This window comes from Homo sapiens, chromosome 5, assembly GCF_000001405.40.
Source record: "Homo sapiens chromosome 5, GRCh38.p14 Primary Assembly".
NCBI lineage: Eukaryota > Metazoa > Chordata > Mammalia > Primates > Hominidae > Homo > Homo sapiens.
The window spans coordinates 175,646,770-175,667,960 of NC_000005.10; the positions used below are offsets into that span (position 1 = coordinate 175,646,770).

At 48.1% G+C, this 21,191-nt stretch overlaps 1 protein-coding gene across 8 annotated transcripts in view, besides 2 other annotated features; it reads left to right on the forward strand.

Annotated features, from left to right (window-relative positions):
• Positions 3,224-3,748: an enhancer, noted in NCBI's record as "NANOG hESC enhancer chr5:175076996-175077520 (GRCh37/hg19 assembly coordinates)". NCBI's record gives its function as "activates a minimal SCP1, AML or CMV promoter by ChIP-STARR-seq in primed H9 embryonic stem cells {active_cell/tissue: H9 hESC(primed)}" and the evidence as "EXISTENCE:reporter gene assay evidence [ECO:0000049][PMID:30033119]".
• The window catches only part of HRH2 (histamine receptor H2), a 52,686-nt gene continuing 42,796 nt past the window's right edge, over positions 11,302-21,191 (forward strand). For 5 of the 8 annotated variants that reach the window (NR_160284.1, NR_171689.1, NM_001367711.1 and 2 more), the window contains exon 1: positions 11,302-11,386. The gene's annotated coding sequence lies outside the window, so the exon portion shown is untranslated. Of the gene's footprint in view, positions 11,387-13,236; positions 13,374-13,830; positions 13,923-21,191 lie in introns of all 8 variants that reach the window. The other 3 variants (NM_001393461.1, XM_011534549.4, NM_001393460.1) reach the window with 3 other exon arrangements.
• Positions 17,180-17,758: an enhancer, noted in NCBI's record as "H3K27ac-H3K4me1 hESC enhancer chr5:175090952-175091530 (GRCh37/hg19 assembly coordinates)". NCBI's record gives its function as "activates a minimal SCP1, AML or CMV promoter by ChIP-STARR-seq in primed H9 embryonic stem cells {active_cell/tissue: H9 hESC(primed)}" and the evidence as "EXISTENCE:reporter gene assay evidence [ECO:0000049][PMID:30033119]".

The window sequence follows — 21,191 nt, forward strand, 5'->3', positions numbered from 1 at the left end:
TATAGCAATAGATAACTAATACTGAAATTATCCCACTGTTAAAAAAGGTTAAGTCATCTCTATTTGTATAACTATGTACAATGGCCATGCTAGTCTTAAGTTAAAAAAAAAACAAGTAGATAACAAAACAGTATATGTTATATAACCCACTTTTACAAATAAGTGTCTAAAATATTTTTATGCTTGGACAAAAAATATTTTATGCCAAAATAATACATAGATTTAATTGTTCATAAGATTATATCTAAAGGAAAAAGATTTTAGGAACCTCACTCCATAACCCATAAGGTTTCAATTTTTAAAACAAGCTTCGTTGCTTTTAGAGTTAGGAAAAAATAATAAAATATTCCCATTTAGAAAAAAATAAAAATAATGTTATGGCTAAAACATCAAAGAACTTAAAATATTTTGTCATTTGTGGCAAATGCTGCTTGGTGGCCAACCCATGCTTCCATTCCCAGTACTCTTCTCCTTTGCGTGTCTTCCACTATAGAAGTTGGAAGGGTGAAATCGTCACTTTGCAAGCCTTCCTTGCAGCTAGGGTGCCTACCATGTGGTAGGTCTGGGCAATGAGATAAAAGTGAAAGTCTGCTGAGGAGGTTGATATCACTGACTCCCTTTTCTCTTCTTCTTTCCTGCCCTCACAGAGCACACATCTTGTGGAAAAGTTGCCATTACAAGACCATGTGACATATGCTATGAAAGCAGGTGTATGCAGGACTAAGACAGTTCAGTGGAGGGGTGTGAGATCCAGCCTGGGACTTGGAAGTTGGCTATCCAGAGAAGACAATATCTAAGCTTCAGAGGGGAGCATGTGGAGGATGCAGAGAAAGAATATCCTAACAGAGGAAAATTGGGTCGCCATACTCTCAAGGGGCAGCAAATTGGAGATGAAGTCATATCTGCTGCACATTTATATATTTCCTCCTTGAATCAGGATGTGTTCAGCTGTAAATAACAGACACTCTGACTCACAGTAGCTTAACCATAGGGTGTTTCATTAGCTCACAAGCGAAAACGTTGAGAAGTAGATGTTTCCAGGGTTTCTCCAGGAGCCTTACAATATCTGGGTTCTGAGTCCATTTCCCTTCAGTTCTCATGGTCTTTCCCTCATGGTCACAATATGGCTGCCTCACCTGCAGGATCAAAGGAAGGAGGTCATGGGATAAGCCATCGGGGCAGCAGGAGAAGGTGTGCCTGGTGTCTGTCTTTCTTATTATAAGAGGAAATTTCCTCGTCCCTCCATCACATTGGCCAAACTGGGTCACATGACAACCCGTAGTGGCAACAGAGTCTAGGAAAACTGTTCTCTAAATTTCCAGCAGTTGAAGTGGGTACAGAGCAGGGGTAAAGGGAGTTGGGAATCATTGTAGTGAACATCAGTGCTCTCTGCCTCTGCCTAGACCGGGAACAAGCTGCCCAAGACTTCTTTGGCTGGGCCTTAGGCTCACCTCCTTAGCCTCACCTCTGAGCCCCTTATCTCATAGGACTCTAATTAATGACCGAGCCAGGCTCCCAGGGGCTCATCCTAGGCTGATCCCTGGACCTGGCTTTCCCTGTATTCTGGGCTATTAGTTTCTTACTTAAGTCCCCAGTCCTGGGATGCCTGTGTCAGTCAACATGTCCCCCAGCTGCCCAAAATGTTCTCTCCCATTCTCGCTCTAGTAGGTGACTAAGAGTTCCTATTCTGGTTATTTGTCTGGGTGCTCCAGAGAATTAAAATAAATAGGATATATATGGGACCCAGGAGAGAACTAATGCTGCAGTTTAAGTCCAAATTCTGTAAGAAGAAATCCCTCTTGCTTGAGGGAGATCAGTCTTTTTGGTCTGTTTAGCTCTTCCACTGATTGAATAAAGTCTATCCACAATATGGAGGGCAATATGCTTTACTCAAAATCCACCAACATAAATGGAAAGCTTACCCAGAAGCATCCTCACAGAAACATCCAGAATAATGTTTGACCAAATATCTGGGCATCATGGCCCCATCCAAGGTGACAAATAAAATTAACTCTCATGCTCTGCTAATTCCTTGCTGTTAGGCCCTAGACAAGTCATTTCTTATATTAGACCATTCTTGTGTTGCTATAAAAAAATAAATGAGACAGTGTCATTGATAAGGAAGAGATTTAATTGGCTCACAGTTCTGCTGGCTGTACAGGCCTGGCACCAGCATCTGCTTGGCTTCTGGTTAGGGCCTCAGGAGCCTACAATCATGGTGGAAGATGAAGGTGGAGCAGGTGCATCAGGAGCAGGAGCAAGAAAGCAAGAGGAGAAGGTCCCAGACTTTTAAAAAAACAGATCTCGTGTGAACTCACTCATCACCAAAAGGATGGTGCTAAGCCATTCATGAGGGATCTGCCTCCATGATCCATACACCTCCCACTAGGCCCTACCTCCAATACTGGAGATTACATTTCAACATGAGGCTTGGAGGGGACAAATATCCAAACCATCTTATCCACCCCTGGATCCCCAATTCCTATGTCCCTCTCACACTGCCAAATACAATAATCTCTTCCCAACAGTCCCCTAAAGTTGTAACTCATTCCAATATCAAGTTCAAAGTCCTAAGTCTCATCTGAGACTCATCTTCCTTCCACCTACAAGACTGTAAGATCAAAACAAGTTATTTACTTCCAAGATACAATGGTGGTACAGGCATTGGATAAACATTCACAAAGGGAGAAATTGGTCAAAAGAAAGGGGCAACAGGTCCCACACAAATCTGAAATCCAGCAGTGCATTTGTTAAATCTTAAAGCTCCAAAATAATCTCCTTTGACTCCATGTCCCATATCCAGAGCACGCTGGTGAAGGGGTGGGCTCCCAAGGCCTTGGGTAGCTCTGCCCCTCTGGCTTTGTTGTGTGTAAACCTACATGGCTGCTCTCAAAGATTGGAGTTGATGCTTGAAGCTTTTCCAGGGTCAAGGTGCAAGCTGCCAATGGATCTACCACTCTGGGGGCTGGAGGCCAGTGATCCCCTTCCCACAGCTCCACTAGGCAGTGTCATGGTGGGAACTCTGTGTGGGGGCTCCAACCCCACATTTCCCCCTTAGAATTGCCCTAATAGTGTCTCTCTGTGGGGACTCCACCCCTGCAGCAGACTTCTGCCTGGGCACCCAGCCTTTTCCATACATCCTCTGAAATGTAGATGGAAGCCACAAAGCCTCCTTCATGCCTCCATTCTGAGTATTTGTAGGCTTAACACTACATGGAAACTGCCCAGGCTTATGGCTTGCACCCTGTGGTGCTGTTGCCCAAGTTGTACCTGGACCCCTTTGAGCTGAGGCTGGAGCTAGAGCTACCAGGATGCAGGGAGCAGTGTCCTGCTGCTGTGCATGGAAGTTCCAGGCCTGGCCTGGGAAACCATTCTTTCCTCCTAGGCCTCTGGGTCTGTGATGGGAGGGGCTTCCTAGAAGAGCTCTGAAATGCCTTCAGGGACTTTTCCCCATTGTTTTGGATATCAGCACCTGACTCCCTTTTAGTCATGCAAATCTCTCTAGTAAGTGGTTGCTCCACAGCCTGCTTGGATTCCTCTCCTGAAAATGGGCTTTTCTTTTCTACCGCATGGCTAGGCTACAAATTTTCCAAACTTTCATGCTCCCTTTATATATAAGTTCCAACTTAACTCATTTCTTTGCTTCCACAGATGAGCATAGGCTGTTAGAAGCAGTCAGGTCACATCTTGAAGGGTTTGCTGTTCAGAAATTTCTTCTATTAGATACTCTAGGTAATCACTCTTAAGTTCAAACTTTCACAGTTCCCTAGGGCATTAACACAATATAGCCAAGTTATGTGCTAAGGCATATAAAGGGTGACCTTTGCTCTGGTTCCCAATAGTTTCCTCATTTCTTTCTCCTTTCCTTTCTTTTCCTTTCCTTTCCTTTCCTTTCCTTTCCCTTTCTTTCCTCTCCTTTCCTCTCCTCTCCCTTTCTTTCTTTCTTTCTTTCCTTTCTTTCTCTTTCTTTCTTTCTCTTTCTTTCTCCCTTTCTTTCTTTCTCTCTTTCTTTCTCTCTTTCTCTCTCTCTTTCTCTCTTTCTTTCTCTCTTTCTCTCTCTCTTTCTTTCTCTCTCTCTCTTTCTTTCTTTCTTTTTATCTTTCTTTCTTTCAACAGAGTCTTGCTCTGTTGCCCAGGCCAGACTGCAGTGGCATGATCTCAGCTCACTGCAACCTCCTCCTCTTTGTTTCAAGAGATTCTCCTGCCTCAGCTTCCTGAGTAGCTGGGACTGCAGGTGCATGCTACCACACTCTAATTTTTTTTATTTTTAGTGAAGCTAATTTTTTTTATTTTTAGTAGAGACAGAGTTTCACCATGTTGCCCAGGCTTGTCTCAACTCCTGACCTCAAGTGATTCACCCACCTCAGCCCCCCAAAGTGCTGGGATTACAGGTGTGAGCCACTGTGCCTGGCCAGGTTCCTCATTTCTAACTGAGGCTTCATCAGCCTGGATTTCACCATCCACATCACTATCAGCATTTTAGTCACAACTATTTAGCCAGTTTAAGTTCCAAACATTCCCTTATCATCCTGTCTTCTTCTGAGCCCTCAAAACTCTTCCAGCCTCTGCCCATTACCCAGTTCTGAAGTTACTTCCCCATCAGCTATCTTTACAGCAAACCTCTACTCCTTAGTTCCAATTTTTTGTATTAGGTCATTCTTGCATTGATATAAAGAAATACCTGAGGCTGGGTAATTGATAAAGAATAGAAGTTTAATTGGCTCATGCTTCTACAGGCTGTATAGTCATGACACCAACATCTGCTCAGCTTCTGGTGAGGGCCTCAGGAAGCTTACAATCATGGTGAAATGCAAAGCAGGAGCAGGCACATTACATGGCAAAAGCAGGAACAAGAGAACAAGTCAGGGGAGGTCCACAGAGTTTTAAAAAACCAGATCTCATGTGAACTCACTCATCACCAAGAGGAGAGCGCTAAGCCATTCATGAGAGGTCTGCCCGCATGAACCAAACACCTCCCACCAGGCCTCTAACATTGGGGATTATATTTCAACCTGAGATTTGGAGGGGAAGCTATCTAAACCATATCACTCCCCTTCCTGTAAAAATGGAGATTGTACCCTTTGCTCAGTGAGGCTATTGTGAGGTTAACTGAGATATTCCATGTGCCCACTTGGCACACAGTAAGCATTCAAGAAAATGTTACTTCCCTCCCCTGTCTCTTAGGTACTTTACAAATCACTTCCCTCAGATCTTGTCTTTCTTATGATCTGAATTAAGAGACTCAAGAGCTATAGTCGACTTGTGCTGGGCCATGGATCTGTGAGTCACATAGCTTTGAGGCCCAAGCAGGGCCCCAGTAGCAGTACCACGGAAGTGAAAATTACAGGGGATTTGGAATTGGGGACATGCGTCTGCTCAAGGAGACAAAGAAGATGATTGGCCAGGAGAGGCAGAAAAAAAGGAATAGATGTTGCCTGAAGATTGTCCAGGTTCTGTGAGACCAAGCTGCGTGTCCTAGCCTTTTCTCATGACGTCCTGAATTTCATTTCCATAAAGTCCTGCATGCTTGAGCCAGTTCCAGGCATCTCTGTTCCTTGAAATCAGAAGATGCCTGAGTTTGTTCTTTCTTCTATCAAACACCAGGGAGAATGCTCTCCCGCTCACCATCTCTCAGATGAACATTCTATCTTGCACTGACCACCTTCTATTGCCACCAGGATGCAGCCCAGGCTTCTTAGCAGAATGTTCAAGGGCTTCTATGCTCTACCCCAACCCACCTCTCTATCCCATAACTCAGCAATACCTCTGTCCCTTTTTCCCTATTAACACCTCATACTTACTTCTTTCTATGCTTTGTCTCTGCTTGAAACATCCCTCCCAGCCCTTCCCATGAACGAAGTCCTATTTATGCTTCCAGATCCGCTATGAAAGTTGCCTCCTGGATCCCTCTCCACCCCCGGCTGAATCATTCTCTACTCTAGGTTCCCATAGAACCGTCTATTTTGCTGTTGGAGTGGACCGGGAGAGCAGAGTGGTTAAAAGCAGAAACCTGGTGAAGTGAATCCCCCAGCTAGCTGTGGGACCTGGGAGACATATCTGACTTTCTGAGCCTCAGTTTCCTTATCTGTAACTTGGAGGAAATGAGAGTATCTGCCTCACAGAGCTGTGGTGAGAATTACAAGAGATGATGTACCCAAATAACTTAGCACAGTATACAGAAAACAGCAGATAGTCAAAAAATGATGTTCCCTCCTCCCCTTGCAAGCCAAAACTGGGTCACTGTGCAATTTCAGAGATGCTGGGGGAAGCAGCCAAGCCTGGGGTCTCCGGAGTAGCACTGGTGGGGCAGGAATTAGCTGTATCCATCTAGGGACTCCCAGCCCCGAGACCTTTCCAATGCCTCTCTCAAGGTTCTCAGTACACGACAGCCAGGAAATCCGCACCCACACAGCCCAACCACAGTTCAGGTGCCCTACCACAAACCCAGAGCTACCACACAGCACAGGATGCAGACAAGAAATAACCAATGACAAAAACCAGTAGGTTTTTATCAGAATTTTCCACAGACCACTTAGGTAAAAGTTATTACCATACCATGTCATTCAGTATCTTAATTGTTGGGTTTATGGGTTTTTTTGGTGGTTGTTATTTTGTTTTGTTTTCCGATTTCAAGCAGTCAGACTCAGCAGGGATTACTCATTCCAAAGAAAGTACGTTTTTCTATTTTGGTCCAATAGTGGTTTGGATTTCCTCAGAATGAGAGGCCTCTTCCGGCTTCCTTTGAAAGATGGTTCTTGTTACATACAGAGAGCCAGAAGGGATTTCGGGCCATCAGATCCCAAAGCCCTCCGGCAAGGCAGGGAGCCTCAATTCTGGTTATTCGTAACAACAAAGACTCCTTTTATGATGAAGATGCTTAGGAGCTTCCAAAGGTTTTCAGATCTAGTACAGAATTGGAAATTTTGAGAGCTGGACAGGGTCAACAGTGCTGTCCTGATCAGATGGGTGGCCAACCATGAACTGCTTCCAGCAGTAAATCACTTTACAGTGTGTGAAGGATATCACTACCCTATTAGAACCTCTACAGCTCCATTGCATTTAGGATGAAATCCACCACCTTACCACGGCCTACAAGACCCTGCACCAACCCCATCTCTGGCCATTGTCCCTCTTCTTCATACACCCGGCCACACCGACTTTGTCCCTGTTCCTTGTCAAGGCCAAGCTTGCCCTACGCTAGAGCATTTGCACTTATTGGTCCTTCAAAAGGAGGCTGCTCCCCCTTCTCAACAAATGCCTGGCTCAGTGCAAATGTCACAGGCTCAGAAAATCCTTCCCCAAGTATCTTAAACAAAGTGCTAGCCCAGTCACCCTCCATGACATTACCCTGTTGGCTTTCCCCAAAGCAATTATCTGTAGCTGGAATTATTGGGCTCATTTCATCTACCTCTAGCGTGGCAGGTCCTTGCTTATTTTGCTCATTGCTGCATCCCAGAGTAGACCCAGTGCCTGACACATACGCAGTAGGTACTCAATACATGTTTGTTGAATGAATAAATGAATTTTATATCCTTTCTTTAAAAAAACCTGAGCCTCATCCACACACTTTACAACAGACATTGTCTCTTTACAAGGTTAATGTTACTGTTATGCGTATTTTATGGTCAAGGAAATGGACTTCAAGATGGGTGCTGATTCTCCCAACGCCACTTACCTAGTCATTCACTGCAGCATAACAAACCACTCGAGCTAGCTTTAAACCACTTGAAACCACTCCACTAGCTTTAAACAGTGCTTCTTGTGCTGGCCCCACCTGAGCTTATTCACGTGGCTGCATTCAGCTAGTGGTCTGCTGTGAGGGCTGCAACTGCTGGGCATCTCTCTCCGTGCGGCCTTTCATCCTAGATAGCTTCACAGCATGGTGGTCTTGGGTATTTTTCGGAGAAGGGGAAAGCTAAGGCTGCCAGGTCTCTTAAGGCATAACCTTGGAAGCCACACTGCATCACTTCTACTGGGTTCTATGGGCCAGAGCAAGTCTCAAGGCCAGTCCAAAGTTCAAGGAGCAATGAAATATACTCCACCTCTTGATAGGAGGTGCTGTTCCATTGTAAAGAAGCCTGGGCTGAATTGCCAGGTTTGTCTTTGAAAATCCATCACAGCTAGTGAGTATTGGAACCAGCCTGGCTGAGCTTGTGACTCACTAAGGCAGACCAAGGGACCGTGACTATCCAGCAATATCAGATGACTCTAGAAACCGCAATGGCCTACAACGTGTAATGTAAGTATCTCTCACTTACACATGTCCACTGGCGGCCGGCTGGGCCTCTGCAGTTTCACTCTGGGACCCAGGTGATGGAGCAGCCTCTCCCCTGGCACAACGCCTGAATGGTTCCAGTCTTGTGGCAGACAGGAAAGGAACGTGGCAGGCACTCGCTGGCCCTAAAGCCTCTCCTCAGAAGAAATACACATCATTTCTATCAGCACATCAGTAGCCACACAAGTCCCAGACACATCATCCTCTTTCCGGGAGGGTCACTGAAGATGCATGGATGGTGATTCCATCACCCCGGAGCCCGTTTTCCTCTTCAGCTCCTTTAAAAACACATTCTTTACTGAGTGGAAATGCATCTCATTCTATTTCTACCATTAGCCTCAGTGCTGCTCTCTCATCTGTTCCCTCTGCACAGAGGTCCTTCATAGAGATGAAGGTCACTGGAGCCTTCTCTACTCCAGGATATACATCCCAGACTTTCCAGCCCTCCCCTGCTTAAAGACCTGCCATAATCCCCCTATTGATAACAGGATCAAGTCCAAACTGTCATCTGAGTCCTTCAGGCCTCCCCCGATCAGGTTCCCACTGGCCTCTCCAGCCTTGTCTCCTGGCTCTGTCTGTGCTCCCCACACCTTGGCTTGCAGCCCTGCTGAACCTCACGCCTCAGTTCCTTTCTCTGTGCTGTGACCTCAACCTGCACAGCCCTTCCCCTCTTCTCTAGCTTGTGAAATGTTGCTTTCCTTTTAGGATTGGGCTGTAAAGTAATCTCTTTGAAGATAATCCTGTTTTTCCTTTGTCAGGTTCAATCAACTTTTTCATTTTCTAAACCTCTTTGTTATAGCATTTTTTTCATTCACTCATTCAGTGAACATTTATTGAGTATCTACTATGTACCAGGTACCATTCTAGGCTCTGCAAAGACACAAGGAACAATACAGGTAAGGTCTCAATCCTTCCTCAGTTGTATGCTGGTGAGATAAAGTAGGCAATAAGCATATAAGCAAATGAAAAACAAAATAGGCCAGGCGTGGTGGCTCACACCTGTAATCCCAGCACTTTGGGAGGCTGAGGCAGGTGGATCACAAGGTTAGGAGTTTGAGATCAGCCTGGCCAATATGCTGAAACCCCATCTGTACTAAAAATACAAAAATTAGCTGGGCGTGGTGGTGGGCGCCTGTAGTCCCAGCTACTCGGGAGGCTGAGGCAGGAGATTTGCTTGAACCTGGGAAGCAGAGGTTGCAGTGAGCTGAGATCACACTGCTGCACTCCAGCCTGGCGACAGAGCAAGACTCCATCTCAAAAAATAAATAAATAAATAAATAAATAAATAAATAAATAAATAAATAAATAAAATAAAGGAAAAATGAAAACAAAATAATTTTAGACAGTGATAAATGTGTTAATTACAATAAAAGGGGCTTCTGTGAAAAACACTATAGGCAAGAAGGTGATTCCTTTAGATAAGTTGGTTAGGGGTGGGTTCACTGGAGAGGTGATGCTCAAGCAGCTATGGGAACAGAGGAGAGCTTTCCTGGCAGAAGAAACAACCTGTGCAAATGGCCTGTGGTATGGTGTGCTTGGCCTATTCCAGGAACGGGGAGGAAGCCACTGTGGTTGAGGTGCAGAGAGAGAGGTAAAGAGTGGTGAGTGATGAGATCAGACAGGTGGCTCTTGCAAACCACGTGGGGTGGGGCCTCTTAGCAGTGACAAGGAACTTGGATTTTACCTGAACTACAGCAAGAAGTCACAGGAGGTCTGGAAGCAGGGAAGTAGAAAGGCACGATCCAATTTACACTTTTCAGAGATTCTCTGAGCTGCTTTGTGAATTGCAGGTGAGCAAGAGAGGCATCCAGAAGACCAGTTCGGAGGCTCTTGTCATTCCAAGATGACAATGACTTGGATGCACGTGCAATAATAGCCTCCCCAGAAGGTGTGAACTGAGACCTAGGGGACCATGGCCCCTCATCCTCTGCATCGCAGCCCCTGGCACAGGGCTGGTCCATGGTGACAGAATGGCTTGAGGTGGTGCATCAATCAGCAGTGGCATGTGTCTGAAACGCATGCTAGCTGAACCCTCCTCGCTTTCACCATCCTTTGCCAAGCTTCCACAGAAATCCCCCTCCACACACCAGGCTCCCCAAGCAAACCGGGGCAGCCCAGCTGACCGCCTGCCTCCCCTGCACTGGGCTGCTGTCCAGGCCTGGCGAAAATCTCTCACCATCCTGCCCACCCAGGCTCCCTCCACGGAGATCTGTGTGGTTAGCACAGTGGCCTTGATATCTTGATATTTAGGAGACGGCTTTTCCCATCTGAGCCTCCATTTTCTCATCTGGAAGGTGGGTGTTATTCTCCCTACCCCCAAAACCCCTTTTCCCAAAGCCCACTTCCTTACTTTTCTCTCTCTTCATCCGTTCCTTCAACCAAAACAAAGCCACTGTAGGGTTTTTGAAGTTTCCTGATTTTTTTTTTTTTTTTGTGATTAATAACCCCTGGACTAATTAATTTCTGCATTTGTGTTTCTAGATTTCAGATTCCAGAATTATTCAAGCTTTTCCCTCAAAACTAGCTATTTCCCCCTTCTAGCCTGACTCTAGCTGGGTCCTGGGCGCCCAATGTGAGGGATGTCACCTGACCTCCTGGGTCTAGCGCCCACCCGGGGCAGGTCCTCCAGCTGTGGCCACTCAGCCAATATCTGCACAGGTGGCGGTTGCCCGGTCAAGGGCGGGCTCACAATCTGCGGGGCGGGGAGAGGGAAGGAGCCAGGGAGAAAAGGGAGAGAAAGAGGGGGCAGTGTGGCAGAAAGGAAGAGGAAGGGGCAAGTGTCAGAGTCGGCGAGATGAGGAGGGAGGGTGTAGGAGAAAGGAAAATAGAAAGTGGGTGAGACCGTGGGAGAGGGAGACTGGGGGAGAAAATGTGGGCGTGTGCGCGCTGAGAGAGAGAGAGAGAGAGAGAGACTTGGAGAGGGAAGGAAGGGAAGGAGCGTTGAGAGCAAGGAGGAGCGAGTTGGGGGCGGAGACGAGGAAGTGGGTGCGAGGCGCGGGGCGCAGGCCGTGCGCGCGCCGCCCGCTGCATCCCTGCCCGGAGCGCAGCCGGCGCGGGCGCGGGACCGAGGCGAACCGGGTGCGGAGCCAATACCCGCGGCAGCAGCACCAGGTAACGCGGCCGCCGCCTCCCCGCGGGGCCTCGGCTCGGGGTGGGGTCCCAGGCGGGCTTGGGGACCCGGCGTGGGCTGGCGGAGCCGCCCGAGGGGCTGCTCGGGATCCCCGGCGGCCGTCGTGGCCCCGAACCCGGGTTCGAGCCTCGGCCCCACCGCTCCCTGGCTGTGCCTGACCTTGGGCAGGTGCCTCCGCCTGGCCTGCGAGCCTCAGTTTCCTTGTCTGTGACCGCGGGGGTCGTGCCTTCCCCAAGGGGGCGTTGAGAGCTCGGGATGCAGCCCCGGTGCACAGCAGTGCTCGGGACGCGGGTCGGCTTTATATCCCCTTTGCCCGCGAAGGGTGGATTTGGAAAGTGCACTTGCGCCGAAACAGTCCCCGTTTTGTCTCCGGGTCTGGGTGGTGGCATTTTCTCGCGGCGATGTGTCTGTCGGAGCATGGAGCAACTTTCTGCTAAAGGGAAGCCAGCGGAGAGCGGGGGCTGCTGGGGAGGAGGCTTCTATGTCTCAGGAAACCAGAACGACCTGCCTTCATCCCGCTGGGCTGCCGCCCGCTGCCGGATGACCGATGACCGGAGCCACAACAGGCAGCGCTCAGCGGGTGGGAGTCCTTGCTGGGGACATCTGGACGTGGATTTGCCTGTGGGATGAGCAGAGCAAGTGGCCTCTGATAGGAATCCCAATCTGGGCAGTGACCTTGAGCTTGAGAGCCTCAGTTTCCTCCTCCATGAACAGGGCCATGCTAATCCCCCACCCCGTCCATGAGGTGTTGTGAGGCGAAAGAGGTGGGGCAGGAAAGTGCTGTGGTGTCCCCCAGTGGCAGCTGTCATGCCCTAGATCAGATAGGCCCAGTCCTGGAGGCGGTTGCCTCTTGGGAAGTCATTTGTATGCCTCAGGTCCCCTCTGTGCCCTTTGCCAGAGAGGGTCAATCGGTGAAGCTGGGTGGTGGCCGGGCTGGGCATGAAGCAGGGCAGGGCCTAGGGAATGTGGGGGGCCCAGAAGCTTCAGCCTCCACTGCACACCTGTCCTGAGGCTGATGCTCCTGTAAGACATGACGTCTCTCAGATGGCAGTTTTTGTCCTGTGAAGACTCCTGGCATAATCTCTCAGCACCTCAGTTTCCTTATTTATAAAAGGAAGTTAATAAATTCCTACCTACTAATGAGTTTCCTGTCCCTGGAGGTTATCCAAGGCAATTGGATAGATTACGTTTTTTGACATCTCTGGGTCTGGATGGTGGCATTTTCTCCTTATATCTGAGCTAGGATATAAGGAGAATTCAATATCATGAGAAAATAACTTATCTCGAGAACCTGCTCCTTGCAGGCCTGGTACTCGGTGCATTACAAGTACGGCGTTGGTTACAGTCACCACAGCACTCCTGGGAAACTGGTGCCATCAAATTCCAATTTACAGATGAGGAAACTGAGGTTCCCAGAGGTAAATGATTGCCATGTGGTCACACCGGTAGGAAGTGCCTGTTCAGAGACTGGAACCAGGTCTGCCCGCCTCCAGGGTGCTTCTGGTTGTATCGTGCTGGCCCCAAAATATGACTGTATAAGTTGCGGCATAGCACAGGGCCTGGCACCTGGCACGTGCGCGATCAGCACTGGCTTCTTGTTCCATGTGTCATAGGAAGGACTGCTACAAAGCACTGGAGAAAGTGAGCCTGAAGCCTGGCAGCAGGGTTGGGGTACTCTTGCCAAGGGATTTCTCTAAGGGTCTGGAAGGAAGGAAGGTCACTACTCAGTACTACATAGGAAGCCGATATCAGACTGACTCACCCCAGCCCACCAATTTCTTTGCTTCCTCCATCACCTTGTCCCGGTTAACCTTGTCTTTATTCATCTCAGCCTAGGCCGATTCTCCTGAGCTCACAGGCACATTCCACTCTCCATCCTAGGCTGATGATTAACTACTGACCCTCCCAGGCGATGCGTCCGTGGGAAAAACAAGACCAGCTGTGGTCCATCTCTGCCAACACCCCAAAGTAAGGGAAACAGGATTAAGTTCCAATCCCAAGGGTTTAATTCAGACTAGAGGAAGAAATCCCTGATGATGGGGAAAAGGGTGTCCCAGCAGGCTAGAGAGGTTCCTTTGCCAAAAAATGTTTTAAAGAAGAGGAGATCATCCAAATGAAAGGATGGAGATATGCACAAAGCCTCTTTCACGTGCAGAGATATTCATCAACAGTCAGAAAGTGCCTAAATGTCCAACAGTAGGGAATCAAAATTATGGAACGCCCATGTGACCACCAAAAGTTGAGAGTTTTTAATGAATGGAAACATGTTTTGCATTGGCATACAGATGGCAGGGTCCCAAATATGTGGCAAGAGCTTAGAAAAAAGACTGGAAGGAAATAGGCTAAAGAGGGTTAACAGTGTTTGCCCATGGATGGTGGGGTTGTGGGAGATTTGTTCCCTGACTACTTTTTCTTGACTTTCCAGATTTTATGCAATGAGCATGTTCTTTAATAATTAGTGGACTACCTGGCTTCGAGTTCTGAGAGCAGGGAGGAGGGTGCCTGATTGAAAAAAAGGTAACTTACGGTTCAGTAAAATGGGTGCCACGTATCTGAGTGTGCCCTGTCTCAGGCCTACAATATAGACTGAATTGCCTCTAAAAGGGTTCAAGTAGTGTTTTCCAGATTGAAGTTTTCACCATCTTCTTGTCTCTTATCTTGTCCCCTCCAATTCTGATACATCCTTTATCCTATTGTCAATTTGGTAATACAGATCTGAGACTACTCCTCCCCTGCTCAAAAATATTCCAAGACTCCTCATTACCAAATGGATCAAGACCAAAGTCCTTAGACTGGCATACATGGCTCATGATGGTTTAGTCTCTGGCCAGCCTTATCGCCTCCAGCTACCCCACCCACCCACCCTCTGCTGGTCCACCTACAACAATCCACATCCAGCTGGCTGAATTAACTATGTTCTTGCCCACCTCCAAACTTCCCACTTGGAATTTCTCTTGCCTGCAATGCCCTCCTTTGCTTAGCAACCCCATCCTACTCATCCTTCAAGATTCCATTCAAACCAGATCTTCTAGGACCCCACAGTTTACAGGTATGCTCCTCCCCCAGGGCTCCTTAAAGATGGGGATGATGTTGCCAGCACACAGGATGTCTCCTCCTTGCCAGCACCCAGGATGGGGCTGGCACATGAAGGCTTGTCAGTAATAGGGGCACCTCTATGTCAAGGCCTGGCAGGCCCCTTAGAAGAAATACGAAATTATTAATATCAATAATATCTGTTGTTTGTTGTATTCTTACTATGTTCCCATGATAACCCTATGGGTCTCACTTTCAGATTGGAAACTAAGAGTAACATGCGTTCAGCCACTTGCCCAGTATCTAACAGAATTCGAACACTGGCCATCTAAATCCACGGCCTACACTCCTAATCAGGGTCAGGAAGGGCTGACAGATTCAATCAACCAACATTTAATCAGGGATCACAGAGATGCTGTAAAAAGCAATGCATCTCTGCACTATAGAGGTGAAGAAATGGCACAATGACCTCCAAAGTGCAAGGGTTTGTGCCAGATACTGGGGACCTAGGCATATAAAAGATGCCATCTCAGGCTGGACACAGTGGCTCACGCCTGTAATCCCAGCACTTTAGGAGGCCGAGGCGGGAGGATCACAAGGTGAGGAGTTCGAGACCAGCCTGGCTAATATGGTGAAACCCTGTCTCTACTAAAAATACACAAAAATTAGCCAGGCGTGATGGCAGGCGCCTGTAGTCCCAGCTACTCGGGAGGCTGAGGCAGGAGAATCTCTTGAACTCAGGAGGCGGAGGTTGCAGTGAGCCAAGATTGTGCCACTGCACTCCAGCCTGGGTGACAGTGAGACTCTGTCTCAAAAAATAAATAAATAAATAAATAAATAAAAGCCATTGCTACAGGGAGCTTACAGACAGTGGGGTGTGGCGAGAGTGGTGTGTAAGCAGGGTCCTCAGGGCTTTGATAGGGGGTGTTTAGGAAACTGTGGGGCCTCAGAGGATGCAGGGTGAAGACTGCCCAGAGGGGATAATATTTGAAATAGATCAGGAAGGATAAGCAGGAATTCACCAGGTGAGCCAGGGAGGTTGGAAAGATGGTTCTCAACTGGAGACATTTTTGCCCCTTGGAAGACATTTGTCAACATCTGGAGCTATTTTTGATTTTCACAACTTGGGGAGGGGGAGTGCTGGCGTCTAGTGGGTAGACGTCAGAGATGCTACTAAACTTCCCACAATACACGGGACAGCCCTCATAACAAAAAATTATCCTGTCCCAAATGTCAATAGTGCCGAGGTTAAGAAACCCTGGGCTGGAAGAGAAGAGCATTCCTGACCAGGGATCAGCTGGTTCAGGTAGCCACAGGTGTTTACCAAGGGCCTTCAAAGCACTGGTCCTTTGAGCCTGAGGTTGCTCTATTGGCCACCTGGCCTCCCTGCTTCCCCTCTGCCCCCACCCCTCAAGCAACAAAGGTGGTCTTCTTTTTTAACGTAAGAGCAGAGCGTTATAGAGACATAATTCATATACTATAAAAGTCACCAATTCAAATGACAAGTCCATAATTTTTAGGATATTCACACAGAGTTGTGCAGCCATCACCACTATGTGATTTCAGACCATTTTCACTATCCCCAAAAGAAACCTGTCCACATTAGCACTCACCCTCTATCCACTCCCCACTCCCACTCAAGGCTCAGCAACCACAGGTCTACTTTCCCTCGCTATAGGTTTGCCTATTCTGGACATTTCACAAAAACTGAATCATACAATAGGTTTTGTGACTGATTTCTTACACCTAGCATGTTTTTAAGGTTCATCCATGTTGTTGCATGTATCAGCGCTTCATGCCTTGTTATGGCTAAATAATATTCCATTATATGGATAGACCACATTTTCTTCATTCATCAGTTGATGGGCATTTGGGTTGTTTCTGCTTTGGGGCTATAATGAATAATGTTGCTGTGAACGTTTGCATGTAGGCTTTTGGGGAGACATATATTTTCATTTCTCTTGAATATATGCCTCGGAGTAGAATGGCTGGATCACATGGTGATGCAGCTTTGACTTGGCGCCTGTTTGAGGAATTGCCAAACTGTTTCCAAAGAGGTTGCACTGTCTTACATTCCCACCAGCAGTGCACGGAGGTCCCAGTCCTTTCCAAAGCTTCTTAGGTCTTTTGGATTCTAGCCATCCTTGTGGGTGTGAAGTCGTGTCATTGTGGTTTCGGTTTACATTTCCCTGAGGGCTAATGACTTTGAGCATCCTTCAGTGTGCTTGTTGGCCATTTGTGTATCTTCTTTGGAGAACTGTCTATTCAGATCAGAGTCACCTTTTAAACTTCAATGCGTCACTCCCTTACTTGGACTGAAATGCTAACTCCATAGAAATCTATCAGGCGCCCTCCATCAGGCCCTGCCCGTGCACTGTCTGCATTTCTCCTCACTCGGCTCTAGCCAAAGCCTCAAAAGGGCCAGCTCGTTCCCCACCGGCCCTTTGTAGTTGCCAGTTCCTCTGCCCAGCTTGCCCTTTGCACAGCAGTTCAAGGATCAGCCCCAGAGAGGCCCTCCCTGTCCTCCCAGTCTCAAGGACACTTCTCCAGCCCCCCTCTAGCACACTTCAAGTTTTCTTTGATCGTATTTTCCTGTTTGATAAGATCTTGAAGAACTCCAGGTGTGACTACACCTTTGACTACTGTGTGACCCTGGGCAAGCCACCTCCCCTCTCTGAGCCTCAGCTGCCCCATCTGAAAACCAGAAGAAGTGGGACTGGCTGATTGCAAAGGGCCTTTCCAGCTCTGCCCCTATCTGATGCCGTGTGACAGCAATGCCAGGAGGGTGCGGGCCTGGCGCCATTGCTGTGAGAGAAGTGTGGCTGGAGCCAAGTTGGTCACGGACTAGAGCAGGCAGTGTGGCTGATTATTGCCAGCCCCATGGGGACAGTCTGCAGGAGCGTGTGGCAGCTTTGACCTGCCACCCAACCTCCAAGAACAGGAGGGAGGATTGCAAACACCTCCAGCTCCAGCAAGGACTGGACACTTTGGCCACCTTGGGCTCTAGAATTGCCCATTTTTCCTGGGAGAATGATCTAACAGCCAAAGCCTCTGTTAACATGAGGGCCATTCATTCACACATTCAGTCACTCACCAAATGCTTCCTGGGGCCCTGCTTGTGCTCAGTCCTGGGCAGTGCACTGAAGATACAGCAATGGATACACCTGATAAGATTCCAGCATAGTGTGGAAAGCAGACAGGTGCATGGGAATGCAGCAGATAGACACAGAGCGTCTGGGTATTCCAGATGTAGAAAGGGCGTGCACAAGGAAACAGAGCTGCAAAATGTCCAGGGGTGTTCAGGGCATTCAGGATGATTAGGCTTGACCTGAGACCCCAGGGCAGTGGGGGCAGGCAGTAGAGGAATCAGCGGCGCAGACCTTGAAAAGTCTTCAGCATCAAGCTGAGGTGTTTGGATTTTGTCCTGTAGGCAGTGGGAGCCACGGCAGGATTTTTTTTTTCTGTCACCCAAACCGGAGTGCAGTGGCGAATTCACGGCTCACTGCAGCCTCGACCTGCTGGGCTCAAGCAGTCCTCCCACCTCAGCCTCCCAAGTAGCTGAGGCTACAGGAGAGCCCCACCACCATGCATGCTGCTTTATTTTTTTCTTTGTAGAGGCAGGGGCTCGCTATGTTGCCCAGGCTGGTCTCAAACTCCTGGGCTCAAGAGATCTTCTTGCCGTGGCCTCTCAACGTGCTGGGATTACAGGCGTGAGCCACCGCACACGGCCCGCACAAAAGGATTTTCAGCTGAGGATAGAGGCGATCCGGTTTGCATTTTCTAAAATGCCTTTTCTCCAGACAGTGCGGAGGAGGGTGGGGCTGAGGAGAGAGCAGGAGGCCAGGAACTTAATCAGGATGGCCTGGCTCTTTTTCTTCGTCTTGTGCAGGGATGAAGGCCAGTACTCTGCAGCTGGAGAGGAAGGGACAGCTTCAAAGCTGAGAGGTAGAATCATCTGAAGGGGGTATGGGTTGAAGGAAAGGAAGGAATCTAAGTAATGAATGACACAGGAACAGCTGATGCCAGCCTCCCGGGGTTCCTGCTACGACCGAGGAGGTACAGGAGCTGCAGGAGCTGGCATTTGAGCATGGCATTTTCCAGGTGGCTGGAGAGGGGGAGTAGAGGCAGCGGGAGAGGGAGGTCCGGACCCAGGATCTGGATATGCACAAGCACAGAAGTGTGAGAATTAAAGAGAGTTAAAGAAACAGTGAGAGGCCCTGGATGCCTGGAGCACAGAGGGTGTGAATGGCAAGATGGGAGGGGAAACTGAGGCTGGAGTGGGCAGGAGGGGCATCCCTGCTTGGCATCAGAGGGCTGTTAGAACCCAGAGCAGGGGTCCTGGCTACAAGACCACTGACTGTTGCTTCCAGGCACAGAGCACTCGCTGCCCTGAGAAAGCCCATTGCTAGAGCTAGAAAGTTCTCAACACCTTACCACACTCCCAGGGCCAGAGATGGGTGCCTGTCAGTCTGATTGTCAAACAGGCAGAAGGCAGATTCCCCCAAACAATTGACCAGTGAATGTGATGTCAACTGAGGCCAAGCTCTCAAAGCGATTATAAAATGGGCAAGAGTGGTTAGAAAAGGAAGAAGGAAATCCTGGAAACCGACCTGGCTCTCCAAGAACACCAGGAACATGCCAAGATCATAGATGGCAGCTGGCAGAGGACTTTTGCAGAGACCACAAGATATTTTTGGGAAAAAAAAAAGAGCCAACAGTTTTAAATGAGATTTCATTGAAAAGTTAGGACATTTTATTTCAAACCCAGAAGATTTTACTGAACATCCAGATTTCCAGCTTCTGGAGAATGTGGAGCTCTGATGGCACTGAGCCCATAGTGGCCACAGCTGTGTAGTGGCTCCCCATCCAGCTGGGCACTGCACCCCCACTGTGGGTGCAGCCTGCCACATTTCACCTGCCTGCCTGAGCCCTGAGGCCCTGGGATCTGAGACCCCAGGACCAGCCTCATCCCTGTCTCTGCCCTGCTACCTAGAGGCTGAGCCAGTGTGGGAGTTTCTTGCCCTGCAGTCCCCAGACTGTGTTCCTGGAAGCGACAGTCTCAGAGAAGGCTCTGTGGAGGTGGGATCTGGGGCGTCATTGGGCTCTCTGGAAGCCCTGCCACCCCCAGCCCCTCTCAGTCACAGCACAGGATGACGAGTTCAGTTAAGTCTGCAACAGAGACCCCAGTTGATGTGACTCACCCTTGAACTCAGGCGCAGATTCCTTTTTTGGTTTTTGAGATAGAGTCTCACTCCGTCACTGAGGCTGGAGTGCAGTGGTGCAATCTCAGCTCACAGCAGCCTCGACCTCCCCAGCTCAGGGGATCCTCCTCACCTCAGCCTCCCAAGTAGCTGGGACTACATACATGCAGCACCACACCCTGCTAAGTTTTTGTATTTTTTTTGTAGAGACAAGGTTTCACCATATTGCCCAGGCTGGGCTTGAACTCCTGGGCTCAAGCGATCCACCCGCCTTGCCTCCCAAAGCACTGGGATTACAGACATGAGCCACTGCGCCCGGCCTCCAGATTCCTTTTTTTGAAGTAGCACCTTTAACAAATATCCACAGAGCTCATTTGGGACCATACTGCCTTCTTCTAAAGACTGATTAAATGGTTGTTTTTTCTTTTCCCTTTTTGAGTAGATAAGACCTTCATGTGGTTCAAAAGTACAATCTACAGGGTACACAATGAAAGGCCTCACTGCACCCTGGCCACCGTCTGTCCAATCCCTGCTCAAAAAATAGAAGGGGTTTCTTTTGTTCATTTGTTGTGGTTTATTCTCCCAGGTTTTCTTTTTGCAAATAAAGGCATATATATATATATGTAATGTATAGTCTTATTTTTGGCCCAAAGGGGAATATATTATACATACTATTTTGTACCTTACGTGTTGTTTTTTAGTCACTGTAGACTTAACTCTCAATGTAGAAAACTTTGAATAAAGAAATGTGCTGGCTGGGTGCGGTGGCTCATGTCTGTAATTCCAGCATTTTGGGAGGCTGAGGCAGGCAGATCACCTGAGGTCAGGAGTTCGCGACCAGTCTGGCCAACGTGGTGAAAACTCATCTCTACTAAAAATACAAAAATTAGCTGGGCGTGGTGGCAGGTGCCTGTAATCGCAGCTACTCAGGAGGCTAAGCCAGGAGAATCGCTTGAACCTGGGAGGTGAAGGTTGCAGTGAGCCAAGATTGCACCATTGCACTCCAGCCTGGGTGACAAGAGCAAAACTCCGTCCCTCCCCCCACCCCCCAAAAAAAGAAAAGGAAAAGCCAAAGAAATGTGCAAAGAAGACAAAATAACCAGTACGACCACCCAAAGAAAACCACTAATACCATCCAGTCTGTCCTACCAGGCATACATTTGGTTTTGGCTGTCCCCCCACATCCCCTGTAAGTTAACAGATTAGGAGTTCATAGTTATAATCATTGTCTCCTTACAATTTGAATCCTGCTATTTTTTGACTTAAATATAAGCATTTCCCCTCATTATTTCATAGTTTCCAAGAAGTGATAGTAACAGCTGTAGTAATTTTGTTGTGACATAATTTAACCATTCTTCTAGTTTTGAACATATAGGTCATTCCCAATATTGCCTATTGTCGAGAATACAGTTATACCTACAGTTGTTCTGTATATTTCTAATTGGGCAGAGTGAGCATCCCTAGAAAGTGGGCCACCTACTTGGATTTTCTTTAAAATATTCACATGAACAAACAAAAAATATTAAGTGGTGGCGGGGATGCAAGACGATTG